The sequence below is a fragment of the Homo sapiens genome, chromosome 3 (genome assembly GCF_000001405.40).
Source record: "Homo sapiens chromosome 3, GRCh38.p14 Primary Assembly".
NCBI classification, from domain to species: Eukaryota; Metazoa; Chordata; class Mammalia; order Primates; family Hominidae; genus Homo; species Homo sapiens.
The window spans coordinates 93,993,058-94,012,119 of NC_000003.12; the positions used below are offsets into that span (position 1 = coordinate 93,993,058).

General features: G+C 36.3%; 1 protein-coding gene across 14 annotated transcripts in view; it reads left to right on the forward strand.

Annotated features, from left to right (window-relative positions):
• ARL13B (ARF like GTPase 13B) overlaps positions 1–19,062 on the forward strand; it is a 75,524-nt gene that overhangs the window by 12,903 nt on the left and 43,559 nt on the right. For 4 of the 14 annotated variants that reach the window (XM_011512535.3, NM_001174150.2, NM_182896.3 and 1 more), the window contains 2 exons: positions 2,817–2,887; positions 10,602–10,851. The exons of 2 other annotated variants lie outside the window; for them this stretch is intronic. In XM_011512535.3, coding sequence (XP_011510837.1) covers positions 2,833–2,887; positions 10,602–10,851 — 305 coding nt within the window. In that variant the 5' untranslated portion in view covers positions 2,817–2,832. Of the gene's footprint in view, positions 1–2,816; positions 2,888–3,490; positions 3,628–4,022; positions 4,080–4,189; positions 4,245–10,601; positions 10,852–19,062 lie in introns of all 14 variants that reach the window. 8 more of the 14 variants (XM_011512533.3, XM_011512532.3, XM_006713532.4 and 5 more) reach the window with 7 other exon arrangements.

Below are 19,062 nucleotides of genomic sequence, written 5' to 3' on the forward strand. Positions count from 1 at the left end.
GCCTCCCAAAGTGCTGAGATTACAGGAATGAACCACCAGGCCTGACCTGGCTTGTTTTATTTTATTTATTATTTTATTTTATTTTTGAGATACAGTCCTGCTCTGTTGCCCAGACTGGGGTGCAGGGGCGTGATCTCGGCTCATTGCAACCTCTGCCTCCTGCGTTCAAGCGATTCTCCAGCCTCAGCCTCCTGAGTAGCTGGGATTACAGGTGTGTGCCACCATGCCCAGCTAATTTTTGTATTTTTAGTAGAGGTGGGGTTTTGCCATGTTTCTCAGGCTGGTCTCGAACTCCTGAGCTCAAAGTGATCTGCCCACCTCAGCCTCCCAAAGTGCTGGGATTACAGGCGTGAGCCACCACACTTGGCCTGTTTTATTTTTGAGACAGGGTCTTACTGTGTTGCCCAGGCTTCAGTGCAGTGACACAATCATGGCTCACTACAGCCTTGACCTGCCAGGCTCAAGCAGTCCTCCTGTCTCAGCCTCCGGAGTGGCTGGGACTACAGGGATGTGCCTCCGTGCTTTGCTAAGCTACTCATTTTAAATGCTACGTTATCCATCTTCTCTGGATAGTCATTTACTATATTTTGTTTTGGAAGTTATTTTGTACTTAAATCTTGTTCTTTGATATTTGATAGTTCTATGAATTAATTCATAATTATGAATTCTTAAAACAAAATAATAAAATTATATTCTTAGTATCTTGCAGCTTCCTTAGGAAGTAAATTCATATTTTTCATAGTTGATAAAGCAGGTACATTTCCAGATGGATAGAGGTTCCTAGACCTTGCCCACTACCTCTTCTCCATAAATCTATAATCTGCTGTGGGTCTTTGTGGCATTCCCACTGGCTTCGCCACCAGCCAATTGAGAATGGGGCCCTGGAGTGCTGCTTATTGTGATTTACCTTATTCTTGCACTGAGTCAAGTATAGACACAGCTTCTGTTTATTTCCCATGCTAGGTATGGGATGGTTGAAACATCTAGAAAAGATAAAGGCTTCTAGATAACAGAGGAAATTAACATGGAATTCGTTTTACTCATAGTAGAAGTCAGAATCCTCACAATGGCCTATGGTCTAACATGAACTGGTCTCTGATGTGTCTCTGACTTCCTGTCTTCCTATTCTGCTCCTTTCTCACTTGGTTTCATCACAGTGGCTTCCTTGCTGATTCTTGGACCTTCCTGCATTTCTGTACCTAAGTGTCTTTGCAGCAGCTGTTCTCTCTTGCCCCGAATATATGCATGACTCACTCTCTCCTTCAAGTCTTTCCTCAGATTTTACCTTCTGAATAAGGTCTGCCTTGACCACCCTATATAAAACTGCCCCCACCTCCCACCCCCAACCTTGATCCCTTGTACCCTGCTCTACTCTGTTTTTTTCCCCGTAGTACCTAATCACCTTATAATGTACTATAAAATTTACATAATAATTTATCGTATTATTAGTGTCTGTCTTTTGTCTCTAAAATGTAAGCTTAATAAGGAAGAGTTTCTTTATCTGTTTTTGTTTGTTTTATTATGATAGTGGTTGCTGTAATAAACAAGTGTGTCTCAAATACCTAGAACACTGGTGTCTGGTATATAGAAGATGGTCAGTGGTTATTTATTTAAGAAATTATCAATTTGGCTTTTGCCAGACTGAGTTTGTTCTTTCCCAGCTTGTGACCCATAGCTAGACTGCCTCATACTCTCACCTCTGTCTTCTGTCTTTGTTATATGGCCCCTTCAAGTACACCTGATTTTTTTTTTTTTGTAAATCTCTTGGATTTACAAGTCTAAATCCAAGAGAGCAAAGCCTAGAGAAATGAAAGGACACCCTTTACGGCCATTTAAATTCTGTTTTCAGCCCTCCATGGGATGATTACTAAAGAGGAATAACTATACTCCATAGGAGATTGGCCATACCCTATGGTCTAAATATGGCAGCTGTGTTAAGCTGTGGCCTTCTTTTTCTATGTATTCCCAAGGCAGTTTTCATTTCCAAATCCATGGTGGTAATGGACTGTCTCACCTGTTATATTGTGCAGAGTTCAACCTAGAAAAGAAATGACTATATAGTGGTAAACAGAATCACCAAGTTAACAGGACTAGGACCAGTATAATAGGTTTGTTCCTTTATACCTGTCCCACATTTAAATCCCTACGAGTTAGGTGAATTAGGTTCTGGTTCTGAGTCTGTAACTGATTCATTGTGTGAGCTTTGACCAGATTACTTAATTTATCTGGACTTATGTTTCTTCAGTTTTTAAGTTGACTAGGTGTTTTTTTTTTCCCCCTGTGGAGTTTAGCTGTATCATGAGAAATATTTTAAACTTTACAATTATAGTATCCTTCTCTCAAAATGTTAGCACTTCATAATCATGTTATTATATATAAATTTATATTTGGTAAGATGCTACATATTTAAAAACAGTTATGTACTTTCATAAGATAAACAGATTGGTGATATTTGTTAGCTTTCAATAAACTAGAAAATTGAGTCTTTAGCCATGATAGAGAACTCAGAGTTAGATTGTCTCCCTACCTCCCTTTCCATCTTCCTTCTTTCCCTTATTCTCTGTCCTTTGGATTATCTATTGTAGAGTTTTACTTTATTTGCTTAGAGAACAAAAGGATGATCCTTTAAAGGTATTTTTCATGAATTTGCTTTTGAATCTATATTTTATTCATCATTGTACTCCCTAGCATCCAACAGATTTTCTTGTGCTTAATAGGTGCTCCTTAAATGTTGATTTAATTAATGAATTTGCATTTATTTTTCCTCAATACTAAATTAACAAAGAAAGTGATTTTTAAATTTCTATTATTTTAAGAAAGGTGACTCTTTTGATGGTGGGACTTGATAATGCTGGTAAAACCGCAACAGCAAAGGGAATCCAAGGAGGTAAGCTGAAAACATTTATGTGCTTTCTGAACTCTATTAAATTATTCTGAATTATTTATTTTGTTAAGTTGCTTTATTCCTTATTAATTTGGTACAGATACTGTGCACTGCATTACTTTATATTCTTAGTATATTTGTGACTCTTGTGGCGAATAGGCTCTGTCTTAATGGGACCAGACTATTATGTTTCAGATTTGAATACATGCAGAGATGCAGAGGCTCCTTGATGCCTTTGATCTGCTAAGAGGGAATAGTATCTGTATTCTAGACAATAGGAAGGAAAATTTAAAAAGATGAGCTGCCCCTGCTTTTAAGAATACCCATCTTCTACTTACATTTTCCTGGCCAGAAGTTAGTCACATGCCTATGCTTAGATGAAAGAGAGGTATAGTTAGCCAGCATAGTTCTCTTTGAATCTCTTGATGCTTTTTTTCAATATAAGTAATTTTTATAATTAAATCTATATCATTAAACGGCTTTATATCATACGTACTGCATCTCATTGAATATTGAATATATATCATACATATTACATCTCATTGAGTGTATCTCATTGAATGCTGGCTAGTCTTCTTTTTTTTTTTTTAATTTTTAATTTATTAGGTCTTTTTTTGGTAGAGATGGGGTCTCCCTATGTTGCCCAAGCTGGTCTGGAATGCCTAGCCTCAAGCTATTCTTCTGCCTTGGCCTCCAAGAGTGCTGGGATTACAGGCATGAGCCACCACGCCCAGCCCGGCCAGGTAATCTTAATTTAATGCTTTGTGCTACAATATAGCAGTATCTATGCTAGTGACTTTGTTGGGCACCTAGAATGTATCACCAGTCAGGCATCTAAAGTGAGTCCCCAACCCCGGGGCCGTGGACCAATATCTGTCTGTGGGCTGGTTCTTAGGAACCAGCCCACAAAGCAGGAGGTAAGCAGCAGGCCAGTGAACGAAGCTTCATCTGTATTTACATCCTCTCCCCATTACTCACATTACTGCCTGAACATTGCCCCCTGTCAGATCAGTGGTGGCATTAGATTCTTAGGACCATGAACCCTATGTGAACTGCACATGCAAGAGATCTAGGTTATGTGCTCCTTATGAGAATCTAATGCCTAATGATCTGTCACTGCCTCCCATCACCCCCCCAGATGGGACCATCTAGTTGCAGGAAAACAAGCTTGGGGTCCCACTGATTGTACATTATGGTGAGTTGTATAATTATTTCATTATGTATTACAATGTAATAATAATAGAAATAAAGTGCACAATAAATGTAATGTGCTTGAATCATCCTGAAACCACCTCTATCCTCCAGTCCATGGAAAAATTGTCTTCTGCAAAACTGGTCCCTGGTGCTGCTGATCTAAAGGGTAAGAATTGGGAGAAATGCATAACATGTATTTGTTTCTGGAAACTGATGATTGCAGTAAGATATCATGCTTACTAAATAGTGGAAGGGCATTTATTAATTAACAGGTTGCAAAACTCACTGTTGGAAAAAAACATTTTCTCACCTCAAATGCTACTCTGTAATGTTAAGTAAATTATCTGTTATTGTCTATGATTTTTTCTAAAGCCTATGTCTATGCTATCTTCTACGTTATATCTTCACAGGACACTCACTATCATTATTTAAACTAGTGGTCAGCAAACTTTTTCTGTAAAGAGCTGAGTAGTAAATATTTTAGACCTTGCAGTCATCCAGTCTCCTTCTGAACTACAAAATTTTTATACTGTAGTGTGAAAGCAGCCATAGACCATCTGCATACATGCTGGGCACGGTGGCTCACACCTGTAATAATCCCAGCACTTTGGGAGGCCGAGGTGGGCAGATCACCTGAGGACAGGAGTTCGAGACCAGGCTGGCCAACATGGCGAAACCCCATCTCTACTAAAAATACCAAAATTAGCTAGGTGTGGTGGCACACACCTGTAATCCTAGCTACTCAGGAGGCTGAGGCAGGAAAATTGCTTGAACCCCGGAGATGGAGGTTGAGTGAGCTGGGATTGCGCCACTGCACTCCAGTCTGGGCAACAGTGAGACTCCGTCTCAAAAAAAAAGAAGACAATCCGTATACAAATGAGCATGGCCAAGCTCCACTGAAAATTTATTTCCGGCACTGAAATTTGAATTTAATATAATTTTCATGTGTTAGGAAATATTTTTCTTTTAATTTTTTTTAGTCATTTAAAATGTAAAACACATTCTTAGCTTGTGGGCCATACAAAAACAAGTGGCAAACCAGATTTGACCTGGAGGCCATGACACCTTCTTCTAACCTTCTTTTATCCATTCCTCTAAAGCCTGACATTCATGGGAGCAGGCACCTTAGAATGTGCTAATCAGATTACCTAATTTGTTATGTATACTGGGTGTACTTAGAACATCCTCTTTCCTTTCTTTCTCTTATGTATTCCACCTCCATATATTCATAAGTTCCTTTTTCTGAGTCTAGAAAATGCTTAATGTCAAAGCTGCCTTCAACTTCGAGCCCCACTCCCCATTCTCTTTTTGTCCTTCATCCCATATTTACTCTTCAGTTTCTTACTTTGAAATTTTTTTAGGACTATAATTTCTTAGAACTACTTGAAACTTCCCAGATGTAAGCCTTCTCTTTCCTTTATATTTTTGTGTTGTTCTCACTTACCTAACTAGAGAGAATATCTACTGATGTTTAAAGATGTATTTTTGTCGTATAGTCTCCTCTTTTATAAAGTCCTTTTTAATTCCCAGCTGCCCCAATTACTACCTTACTTAGTAGAATTGATCATGTCCACTTTTTTGGCCTGCTCTTCCTGATACCTACTTGGTCACTACTTAATTACATTTTGTTTGTGTATCTTTTTTCTTCAGGCTGTAAATTCTCTAAAGGCATTTTGCTTATTTTGGTGTCACAATTGTTTAGGCCATGCGCCTAGGTCTTCTTAAAACACCTCTCTCATGGCTCCTACTTTTCTACTTATTTCTGATTCTTTTCTGACTTCTCAGCCTTCTTTTTTTTTTTTTTATTTCCGTGTGAAATTGAGAAAAAGTTATCTGCTAGTTTCTTTTCAGATGTGTCTACCTCTCCTCTGACTGTGTTGCCATTGGCTAAATCCAAACCCTCAGTTTCTTTTATCTATGATGTCACAGTAGCTTTTTTCTAATTCATATTCTATTTATTTATTTATTTATTTATTTATAATTTTTTATAGAGGTGAGTCTCACTATGTTGCCCAGGATGGTCTTGAACTCCTGGCCTCAAGTGATCCTCCTGCCTTGGCCTCCCGAAGTGTTGGGATAGTAGGCATGAGCCACTGAGCCTGGTCATATTTTTTTGGTTTTTTAGAGACAGGGTATCACTTTGTCATCTAGGCTGGAGTTCGGTGGCGTGATCATAGCTCACTGTAATCTCAAACTCCTGGGCTCAAGCTATCCTCCTGCCTCAGCCTCGAGAGTAGCTAGACTAGAGGTGTGCTCCACAATGCCTAGCTAATTTTTTTATTCACAATAGCTTTTTTTCCCTTTTTTATTTTTAATTTTGTGAGTACATAGTAGGTGTATATATTACGAGGTACATGAGATTTTTGTATAGGCATGCAAGGCATAATAATTTCGTCATGAAAAATTGGGTATCTATTCCCTGAACATCTATTCTTTGCGTTACTCTTTCAGTTGTTTTTAAATGTTCGATTAAATTATTATTGACTATAGTCTGCCTGTTGTGCTTTCAAATACTAGGTTTTATTCATTCTTTCTAAATTTTTTTCACAATAGCTTCTTAATATAAAAGTAACACCCCTTCCTGGAACTTTACTTCTTTAAATCAAACTTCTCTTCTTCATGGTTGTCAGTAATTGCATTAGTTGGACACAGGTTCAATTGTTCTCACAGAGACCTAAGATAACAGTGGTTCAACAAGATAGATGTTTCTTTCTTTCTCATAACAGCCTAAGCAAAAGTAGTCTAGGACTGGTTTGTCAGCTCCATCGTGTTAGTCCTCAATTCTTTGTTCTATTTGCTTTGCCATCCCCAGTGTTCTCCCTCACCTACATGGTTGAAGGTAGTTCACTACAAAATGTGCATTTCAGCTAGAAGGAAGAGGTAAAGGGTAAGGGGAGGCCATCCTCCTTTTCTTTAGGAGCTGAACCAAAAGCTGCTGCATCATTTTAGTTCACATCATGACTAGAAGCAGTGGTGTTCTGGACCTGCTTTTCATATTGGCTCATATCAACTAGTGAGAGCCGATTATGCATATCTCTTCCCAACTCTATGTTTAGGTACCTCACATTGTTAGTTTGAAATTGGCCATGGTCAAAGTATTTATACTGTGGAAATTGGCAGATACCATACATGTATCAGGGTTCTTCTCCTCCAAATATTTAACAACACATCACTGGCTAGCCTCCCCTCATGGCCACCCCTTGCTGCCGTAGTAGTTGGGGATTATGGTCTGTTGTAAGCAGTCATGAGCCTAGGTAAAAAAAAATCTAGGATTCTCTTGACTATCAGATAGTGTTTCCTAATAGGGAACTATTGTTATTTTTGGTGCGAAAATTCTTTGCGTGGACTGGTCCCTAGCATTGTTGGGTATTAACATGTCTTCATTATATTGTAGTTATTTGTGATTTGTGAAGAGGAAAAAAAAAACAAAAAAATTATAGTTACTCATATATATATTTATGTTTCATATGTAGTTATTTGTGTATGTGTGTGTGTGTGTGTGTATATGTATATATATATATTTCCCCAATAGACTAAGAGCTCTATGGGATCAGAAGATGGATTTTATTAATCTTTGTATTTCTAGAACCATGCATAGTACTTAGCTTATAAGAAATGCTCAAAAATTTATTGATTGTATATTTGCATTTTATCTTGGACTTTCTAGAGATGATGTCTTACCACATATACTCTACTGAAATTCTCAATTGGAGACCATGTATCTTTGTATTCCTGGTTCTTGTATGATTTATCATCTATAATGGGCCCTAAATACATGTACGAGGATAGATGGATAAATACATGAAAGGAAAAAAGAAAGGGTGGATGTATGGGACAGGAGCTTCAGTTATCTCAGTGGTTTGGTGGTGTAGTATTGAGCCCTATATACTTTGTGCTGAATGCTAAGGATACAAAGACATAGTCCCATGTGTTGGGAAGGTATAGGCTATTGTGAAGATCAGTAGAGGACAGAATATTATGATAGAGGTAAAGGTGATAGTAGAAGTAGGAGGAATCATCAAAAAAGGATTTATGGGGAAAGTTGTACCTGAACATTTAGTCTTAAGTTGTGAAACACAAATGCTGAATAGGAACCAGAGGAAAGAATAGAAGGTGTTCCATATATCAAAAGAAACAGGCTTTGGAAGTCCTGAAGACCTCTGTTTGAGGCCTGTCTCTGCCTGCTATATAACCTTGAAAAAAAATCCTTAATCTGAATTGGTTTACTGGGCATATTGCCATCATTTTATCTGTACTTAAATTGCTCCCTCTGCCTAAAATATAGTTCTCCCTTCTCTGTTACAATTATGTAGCTTTTATGTGTTCACTCACAATGAAGTCTTCATTTCAAGATTTTATTTCTTCTCTGAAAGCCTTTCTAGACCATAACTTGCCCCTCCCTTTTTCACCTTCCTTCCCTTGAATTCCTACACACTATCGTCTCTAGCTTATTTTTTTTAAAGAACATACAAATTCTGTGTTATTCCTATTAATATTCCACTTCTCTATATTACATTGTACTTTGAGGACAGCAATCATATCTTACTCATCTTTGCACCCTTGATGCCTAACAAAGTCCTGGTACCAAGGAGGTGTTTGATACATGTTAGTTCCCTTATTCCTACTTCAGCATAGTTGATTTGTTTTCACTGATGATTGCCTGGGGTTCCTCTCTATTCATACTGAAAGACAGCTGCCTATTTTATCCACACAAACTACTTCTGGTTAAGCTTAGATCACATTTTTAAATGCCTAGTATAATCCTATTTCTGGAAAATCATTCTGCTTATATGTCTAACTTTACCTTTTTCTTTTTCTAGGTAATGAAAGTATTAGCAAAAGTATGACTTGTAGTGGCTCTTAACTTTCTCAGGTGCTGTGTAAACTTCACTAAGGTGCTTACCAAGAGATTGGTGTGTTGCAAGTCTGTTTCTCAGTCACACCTAAGTTTAGTGAATGCCTTTCAAATTAATCTTTGTAATAGCAAATGTTTTGCTAAATGTGGAAATAAGACCCTCTAAACACCGGTGTTGTTCAGTAGAACTTTCTGCAATGATGGAAATGTTCTATATTGGCTCTGTCCAGTAGGGTGGACCACTAGCCACATGTGACTTTTTTTTTTAAACTCTAGATGTTACCCAGACTAGTCTCAAATTCCTGGCCTCAGGTGATCCTTCCGCCTCAGCCTACCAAAGTGCTGAGATTTCAGGCCTGAGCCACTGTACCCAGCCACCACATATGGCTTTTGAACACTTGAAATGTAACTGATGCAACTGAGAACTGAATTTTAAATTTTATTTTAGTTTATTTAAATTTAAAAAGCCTCGTGTGGCTTGTGGCTTTTGTTTTGACCATGCAGCTCTGAACAATGTTTTCTGTGGGATAATATTTATAGTGGATTCCAGTGATGAAGAAAAAATAGAACAGAAAAATATAAAGTTTGAACTTTTCTCTGTAGCCATGAGTCAGTATGCCATTAATCTTTCATGAGTTCTCTTTTCTATTCCTTTATTTTCATGCCTCTCTGAAAAGAGGCTATTACTGTCACTTCCAGTCAGTCTAGAGACTTTTGCAAGATTAATTTTAATAAAGCACTATTTCAGTCACCTTAATTATATCATTGGTCTGCCAGATATTTTCAATAATTCCTTGTTCTCTATCTTCAGAACCCTCTTCTATTTGCATTCCTAATCTTAAGGATTTGCTGTAGGCACAATGTTCAATTTGTTCATATTCCTTTACTTTGCCATTTCCCTTCCTCTTCTGCCTGTTTAAATCCTATACAGCTTTAAGGCCTAAATTCTATCTCTCCAATGAGGTCTTTTAAGATCCTCAGGTATCTTTTAAAGCTCTTATTGTCATTATCACTCCTTGGCAGTTCATATACCTCCTGTATCTTCTTTATGTTTTCGTATATAGAAATCCAAAAAAATTCAATTATGTATTTATTGGAACATCCAAAATATGTTCCTATAGAAAGAATGAAATCTACTTTTTGTTGCAAGCTGCCCTTAAACGTCTCTTTATTGTAAATATAACTTTAATTCAGCTAATTAAAAAAGAGTGGCCTTATTCTTTATAGCTTCTCTCATTCTTTGATTCTTCTAAACTCTTCTATTCTCTAAGTGTTCATGGTTTTCTTTATAACTCCACAGATGTTTTAATAGTCCCTGGGGATGGCTATGGTATTGAAAGGTTGACATTTTTATTGTTTGTAACTTGGACAGTAAATAGCCTTAAAGGCAAGAGTTTATTCATTTATTAATTCAACAGATACTTACTAAGTACCTATTATATACTAGGTGTGGGTGTTATATCAGGGGAAAGAAAGATTCCTATCTGCATGGAGTAAAATTTCTAGTTTGATATTCTGGCCTGTCCCCAAACCAGTATGCTTCAAAATAATGTTTATTGTGTCAGTGAATGCTAAATATTTCACTTGGGTGCTAAAATTTTAGTTGAAAAATTAACGTTGTCAATTAAAGTCTAAAGATTTTCTTTTTTTGTGTATCATTTGTAACAGAATACCCTGAAGATGTAGCTCCTACTGTTGGATTTTCAAAAATTAACCTTAGACAAGGAAAGTTTGAAGTCACCATCTTTGACTTGGGAGGTGGAATAAGAATTCGGGGAATCTGGAAGAATTACTATGCTGAATCCTATGGGGTAATATTTGTTGTGGATTCCAGTGATGAAGAGAGAATGGAAGAGACAAAAGAGGCTATGTCAGAAATGCTAAGACATCCTAGGATATCGGGAAAGCCTATATTGGTGTAAGTAATGTTAGCATCATTGTAAATGTAGGGACGATGGCATTGGCCACTAAAGAAATTTACCTGTTACAGACTAGTGAATAAGCTAAAATAGTCACGCTTTAGTATACTAAAATGTATGTAATTAACTGGGAGTTGTTAATTTACTGAGGCCTTGTTATAGTGCTGTCTATAGGGGAAAAGGGCTAAGGCTATAGAATTCTTAAAAGTGGATCTCTTCGATATTCAAATATAAACTCATTGTTTTATGTGATAGTTTACTTTTTATAGAATTTTGCATTTTGAAATACTCCATTAACAAGGTTCTAAAATATCTTTTAATTTTTTCTCTTTTAGTAACTTGTATTTTGCTTTTGTCCTTTTTTCCTTAAAGAGTTATTATTTCAGAGTTATGTAAACAGTTTATTTTTCTAATACCACATTGATTTCTCAGTTTTCACATCTACATTTCCATATTGGACATGTGATTGTTATCAAATTAGGCATACACTTATATGATTTCGTCCATGTGGGTGAACATTTTTTAAAAACGAAGTGACAAAGGACTTTTGCACTACCAGCCCTCATAGCATTTATGCATGGTAAACAGTAGATGGTGCTATAACCGTGAGGCATAGCAAACTGAAAGTAGTTTAAATTGCTCTTTAACTTGTAGTAAACTAAATATTTGCCCTTGCCGTCTTGTCCCTTTTCCCTTGTTCTTGTGGTTCATTATTAAGGATTAAAAAAAAAAAAAATCAACCTGTCATGTGGTTAGATGAAAAATTGTAGAGTTTCTCAGTGGTCTTCAGTAGTAAATGAACATTTTTAAATGAGGTGGTTTGGAAGCTCTGATTGCAAAAGTTAAAACTGTATTATATAATTTATTGCTAAAGTTGATACTTTTAAATTTTTATATATTTAATTAGAGAAGTTATTTGATTTGTATAAGCAATTCTCATGTTTTATTGAATCTAAAGGAGAACTTTTAACAGGGATATGTATGAAGAGAGAACTTTGCAGAACCCCATAGGCTAAATTGGTGTTTACAGATGTTTAAGCAGGGAATCAGTGATTTCTAGACTAAAGTAAAAAATATTAATGATGGTTATTTGTAAAACAATATTATGTGCTTTTTTAAAACTAGTCATTTAATTTTTTTCATTTACTCTTTTCTGGATTTATTCATTAATACATGCATTAATTCAACAAATATTTACGTGAGCATCTACTGTTGCCAAGCATAGAATCTTTTCTATAATCACAACATTGCCAAGGGTTGGGAAAGTGTTTGGGAATAAAAATAACAAAAATCCAAGTTAGACCTCAGGAGCTTACATTCTAGGGGGTGAGATAACAGACTAAATATAATTAATAAGTTACATTATATATTAGATCATCAGTGTATTGAAAACAAACAAGTAAAAGAATATCAGAAAGCCTATGGTGGTAGTGATGACAAGGGTCTGTTGCTCTTATAATTAGAATGATCCTAATAGGCCTTATTGAGAAACTGACATTTGAAATGAGGGAGTCAGTCATGCAGATATCTGTGGAAACGGCTCAAAGTCGGGGTATACAGTTGTTAAGTGACTACAGTGATTACTGAGTAATCAAATAACAGCAAAATATTTGCTTTCAATTCTGTCACCTCTCTCAGCTAGTGAATTTCCTGAATAGAAAAGAAAATACAGAACTACTGTGATTGCTTCACCATTATAAACTCATAGTTAGTGAGAATTCACAAAGATATAAGAATTAATTATGGACAGTGTAATATGTTTATGAAATATAGAATCGTTTGCCATTTGACCAGATTTTCTCATGGGATTTTTACAATCAGAATTTTATTATTAAAGGTAAACTGCTTTTTGGAAGGAATGTGATTCAAAAATATACAAAATGTACACAAAAGTACACATTCTTAGTAAATTTCAAAGATAGAGGGAAAGGTTTTTTGTATATTTTTTTTGATATTTAATAGTTGTGCATATGTGGAAAAGAATGTTTAAAAACATGATTGACTTACCATCCAGGGCCAGCCACCGTTAGCATTTTGATGAATTTCCTATGCATGTATATTTATGAGACAAGTAATGTATACAGTATTCATATAATAAATACAATTTTGAGCCGGGCACGGTGGCTCACGCCTGTAATCCCAGCACTTTGGGAGGCCGAGGAGGGCAGATCACGAGGTCAGGAGGATCGAGACCATCCTGGCTAACATGGTGAAACTCTGTCTCTACTAAAAATATAAAAAATTAGCCGGGCATGCGCGCCTGTAGTCCCAGCTACTCGGGAGGCTGAGGCAGGAGAATTGCTTGAAACCTGGGAGGTGGAGGTTGCAGTGAGCCAAGATCACGCCACTGCACTCCAGCCTGGGCGACAGAGCAAGACTCTGTTTCAAAAATAAATAAATAAAATTTTGTATCCTACTCTTTTTTTTGATATGTTTATAAACACCTCTTGAATGTCTGACCAAGCCCCATATTTGAAAGTTCTCCTGTTTACCTTTTTCTCTCTGACTTGCAATTAATTTCTCTTATTGATGTTACTGTCTTACTATCGTTTGAATCTCTTCACTACTCCATTTCCCTTTAGTGTTACCTCCCTTCAATTCCTCTTCTCTAATCACCTGTGTTGCTGATAGGAACAGTCCCTTAACCAGTCTCTAACTGCCAGTCTTGCCTGCCCCCCAAGCTCTCCTCTACACTGCCAGCAGTTCTTTTCTTTATTTGATATTTTTCAGATTACAAAACTGGTACATGCTTGTTATGACCAGTGAAACAATACAAGAATATGTAAAGAATATGAGACTTTTAAAAATACAATTTTGATAATTTTACTGCTTCTTAGCTTAAAGTCCTTCAAGTTCCTTTCATAGTTCCATGCAGATAAGAAATTCTTTCTTTAAACTAACATAACCTCTGCAACTAGAAATAATGCCTGGCATATAATAGGTCTGGCACTGACAGATCTGCTGTATAATAAGTAGAAAAGATGTTCAGCAGAACTGTGCTAAGCTCAGTGCTAGGGGATGGGGGCTGTAGAAGGGTAGCAGGAGGGGATACCTGTATTAGAGTCAGGTGGCAGTTCTCTTTGTTGCACACAGCTTCCTCCTTAGTGCCCACAGACATCTGGACCACTCATATGCCAAATATTTACAGCATCTAATTTCTTCTGCCCGCGCCTTATCTGAGCCTAAACTAGTTGAGGTAACGCACAGTGCCTTAGAAGTCATTTTAATGCTTGGATAACTTTCTCCTCCTACCCCCAATAACAAGCAAGCAGAAAACAAGACCTCTGAAAAGCTTCATTTAATAGAAGGAAATAAACCTAAAGATTAAGAAACTTTTCTATAATCACAAAATTACAAATTGACAGAGCCTGAATTCATTGTTATTTGTGGGAAGTAGAGTGGATGACCACAGTAGCAGGTTGTGACAATCTTTAGTTCTTCTCTACTTGCTCCTACACACAAGCCTGACAGCATGTTGTGATGGCAAATAAGGCCTTGGCCAGTGTCTCATTCTGTTTTCATGGTGCTGATAAAGGCATACCTAAGACTGGGAAGAAAAAGAGGTTTAATTGGACTTACAGTTCCACATGGCTGAGAAGGCCTCAGAATCATGGTGGGAGGCAAAAGGCACTTCTTACATGGTGGTGGCAAGAGAAAATGAGGAAGATGCAGAAGCAGAAACCCCTGATAAAACCATCAGATCTCGTGTGACTTATTCACTACCATGACAACAATATGGGGGAAACTGCCCCCATGATTGAAATCATCTCCCACCAGGTCCCTCCCACAACACAGAATTATGAGAGTACAATTCAAGATGAGATTTGGGTGGTGACACAGAGGTAAACCATATCAGCCAGATTTTACTTGATGTCACAGACTGGAGGTTTTTCTTGAAAAGTCAGAATCAGAATATCACTAGGCTTCTTTGTTTTATTAGCTCAGAAGTTCTTTTTGGCAGTTGTATAGCATTTATTAATCAGCATAATATTTTAATTCTTCTGAAATAAGTGGTGAAAAGTTTAGGGAGAAGACAGAGTCTGGAACCTGGATTCTAAGAGCTACTGTGAATTTGTTGATAACCCTGATAAGTCACTTTACTTCTTTGGGCTTAGTTAAATGCCTCTTCTATAATAAAAGTAACTGTAAAATATTCTAATTCTGTGTATTCAGCTATGTAGAGTGGCATGAACCAGAACCAATTTCAATAGAAAATTAAAAATGATTTGCATTCCTTTTAAAGAGAGTAAAAATAAATGCCATGCAAACATTATGCTTTGCAATCATGTTAATCTACAAAGTCCTTTTTCTCTCACATCAACTATTTAGAAATTAACTTTAGCCTGTACTGTAAGGTATGAATTACGTTATCTACTCTTGCCTGCTCCCCACCCCCCTTAACTATTTAGAGCTTAATTAATCTAGCTGGCCCTTCAGAAATTTTTTTAAAAATACAAACAAAAAACCTTCAAACTAGGTAGTCTTGACAAAGAAGGCCTTTCCAAGAGAAAAAGTAAACAGGTTTTGCAACTTTATAAATAGTGCCAGCAGTAATACCAAATTTTAAGCTCAACATCCAGTATAGACATTTTCCATTAATAGTACAAGGCATGATTTGTTGATTACCTGAGGAATAAACTGAGCTGCGAGGTATTTTAAACAGCTTAATCTGTTGAAATTTTCAGCAGTCCAGGGTTACACTGATGTCATAAGAAAGCATATGCTCTTTCTACACCCCCTCTCGCTAGTACCCGTGGAGTCTTAAAAGTTGGCCTCAGAGAGATAATAAATTACCCCTTCTTTTTATAGTTGAATCTCCTAATGCTTTTAACCAAAGTTATCCTGGAGAGGCACAGGCTAAAATTTTCTTTTAGGGTAACAATTCTATTTGTATTAGCATTCTCAAACTACTGGAAGGTGCCACTTTTCTCATTACACACTGCCTGCTTTTCTGTGGAGTTACATGAACTACCTTAACTTTTGGCCAGTCTTCACAAATTGAATGATTACAGCAAAAGTGATATATGTATAGTTTCACTTGGGGAAGACAACATGATATCTCTGATTTGATCTTACTGGATGTTATGAGCATTCCAATTAAAAAGTTTCTTGGCTACTCTGGGCACACTGCGTATGGGGTAGCCCTGCTCCTCAAGGAGCAGTAAAGATAGATAGATAGATAGATAGATAGATAGATAGATAGATAGATAGATATTCTTGACCCTGGTCTTTGCACCATGAGTGGTCTCCCAAGACCTTCTGAAATCATACACAGAATCCCAAGTGTATGTACATTTTTCTTGTGAGCAGATCCTAAAGAAGTTTATGACTAAAAAGATTAAAAACCCTGTCAGTGATTTTCCATATTAGGAGAAACAATAGCCAGACATTAATTATTACTTTTTCAACATGAGATTTTTTTTGTTTGTTTCCAACCTTTATATGCTTATTTGACTCACCTTCCTTCTAGGCAGTATTACAGCAAAATGTTAGTTTGCAAGTTTCTTTTAGTCATATTCCGTATTGTAAGTGCCCAGGAGAAGTTAAATAGGTTATGGTTATCCTAATACAGTTATCAGAAATTGAATCAAACATACTTTTAGTATGTTAAACATTTAAATAATAGAAGAATCTGAGTCCTGTTTTAGAATGCTGGAGACCTATAGATATGGAATTACGGTCTGCCTATGTCACATAATCAGTTGATCCTTAGATAGAGTGGTGAGTCCCCTAATTTCCTCTGAAACCCCTACTTATTGAATTTATAAGGTCTATTGGCTTAAGATTTCTCTCCTTTCAGTGGAGCGTTACCACACTGTCATCTTCATTAATGTCATTTACTTATACTGTTGACTCATCTCCAGATGTCCTTACTGAATGTTTCCTTTTGTCTCTTAATGACATTCAGCTTCATAGCAGCTGTAATTTACAGTAAAGATTCTCAGCCAATTGATTTTGTAGGTAATTTAAGTACTGGGAGCCTGCAGAGGTCCCCATCCCTGCCTTCCCTATCACTTCAATCTAGTTAAAAACAAAATAACAGAAAAAAACTCTTTGGCAGTGTTACTACGTAGCAAGATATTGTCCATGGACCACCTGCATCAGCATCAGCCTAGACCTTCAAAATTTTTGAGGGTGAGACCAGATATACTTTGGGCTTTTTTTCCATACGTGCTCTCCAGATCATTCTGATTTATAGCAAAAATTGAGAACTACTGGTGTAGGAGAAAGTGTTAAGTCAGAAAGGCCCTAAGTAGGTTATTTAATCTTTCTAAGCTTTTATGTCTGCACTTGTAAATAGGGATTATAATATGTCATGTTATGTGAATTCCAAATAATGCATTTAAAGCCTCTCAAGCCTGTAGTACAGTGTTTCACTAGTGTTCTGTAAATGCAATGGTGGATGTGAATATCATTATTATTGATAATATACTGTGTCCAAGTGTAGAAGAATTAGGAGAACCTAATGTTTCAAAGTATTTCATCTTACGAATTCAAGCTCTATGAAGCTTGTAATTACAGAAAATGGCACAGTTTAGTAGTTATGAATATGAGCTTTAGTGCTCATAGTAATTTTTATTTTTATTATTGCATACTTTCAGTATTGCAATATTTTGCCTTCGCCTCTTTTAATAATTTTTTCCCTTTAAGGTTATTATCTTAAGAAAAAATAATGACTTTTAGTGCCTATTAAGTGTGTATATAAAATACACAAAATGCTACAACTAATTAAGTTATCATGTTATCTGTTTTGTTTAGATTAAGGTGATACTAATTGGTTTGAAAAGAGAACAATGAAAACGGTTTCTGATACATTGCTTTGTGATGATTTTTTTTGTGCTTAAGTCTTGCTTTAAAAGCAGTATGTTCTAATATAAAATGCTGAAAGAAAATAACTATTTTACAAATTCATCTGGATATAATTGTACTAATGAATATTAAATAGTACTTAATATTATCAGTTTTCATGATAAACAATTTAGTAACAATTACAAACAGGTATCACTAAGGCTGTAGAAAAAATTTTAGAAGGAACAACAGAGAGACGTCTATCACTAGTCAGCTGTGGAGTTTATCATCTTTTAAGTTTATCTTTTTTTAATAATGTTTCTTAAATATTTGAAGCGGAGATACGTGAAACATCTTTTTCTCTAGCGATGCTTGATAATTGACACCATAGAAAGCTCTTCAATTTTGTGATATTTTATAAATTAAAAATTATTTTGTATTGTTTATGAAATACATATTTTACATATACAAATTCAGTCATTTCAAATACCTCAACCTCTCTTGACATATTTTCCTTCATCATACGTACCTGGAAAAGCCACTGTCTTGCTTAGACCCAGTCATCTACACATTCTGTGCTAGCACACAAATGCTAAACATCGATAGATTAGTAATACGTGACTGTGATGGCTGATCTTACATTAAAGTTATCATAACTGCCTGGTTATCTTCTTATCTTTCTTAGAATGTTTGTTGTTCTCTCAAAATGACAGTTTCCCTCCTTGTCCTCTCATTCTGTTCTCCCTTAAACCCACTGTGCTTTCAGTTTTTGCCTGAGTTCTTTAAGGAAATAGAAACCATCGCACAAGAGTATTCTCATTTTTTCCACTACCACATTTACTCAACTGTCTGCTTTTATTCCTAAACCCTGCCTTTTCTTCTATAGTATGGAAGAAGGGTTTCTCTTTCTACCCAAGTCCAGCTTCTGCATTTGTGCTTCATACTCCACTTCTTTCTGCTCTTACATAATAGTATCCCTTCCCTTTCTTATGTGAGGAGTTTCTCTCTCTGGATCTTTCCTGTCAGCAGAATGTGCTTTCATGTTTCTTGCCTGGAAGTATAGTGGAATCCTTTCACTCTACATATCTCTCTAGCTATTGATTACTTTTTATAGTACCTTATTCAAACTTCTGGAAAGAATTGCCTGTAGTGGCTGCTGTATTTCTTCATGTCACATTCTTTCCTCTGCAGACTCCATTTGTGCTTCTGTTTCTATAATTCCTTGAAACTGCTCTTCTTGAAGTCAATAATTGTCTTTGTGCTGCCAAATCTATTGTTATTTTACTGCTCTTATTTTACCTAAAGTTGACTGTTTCTTCACATTTTTCTTTCTTTAAACTCTCCTTTTGCATTGGCTTTCCTTGTACCTCATTGACAGTTTCAGTTAGTTTCTTTTATTAACTCCTCTTCTTCTTTGAGTC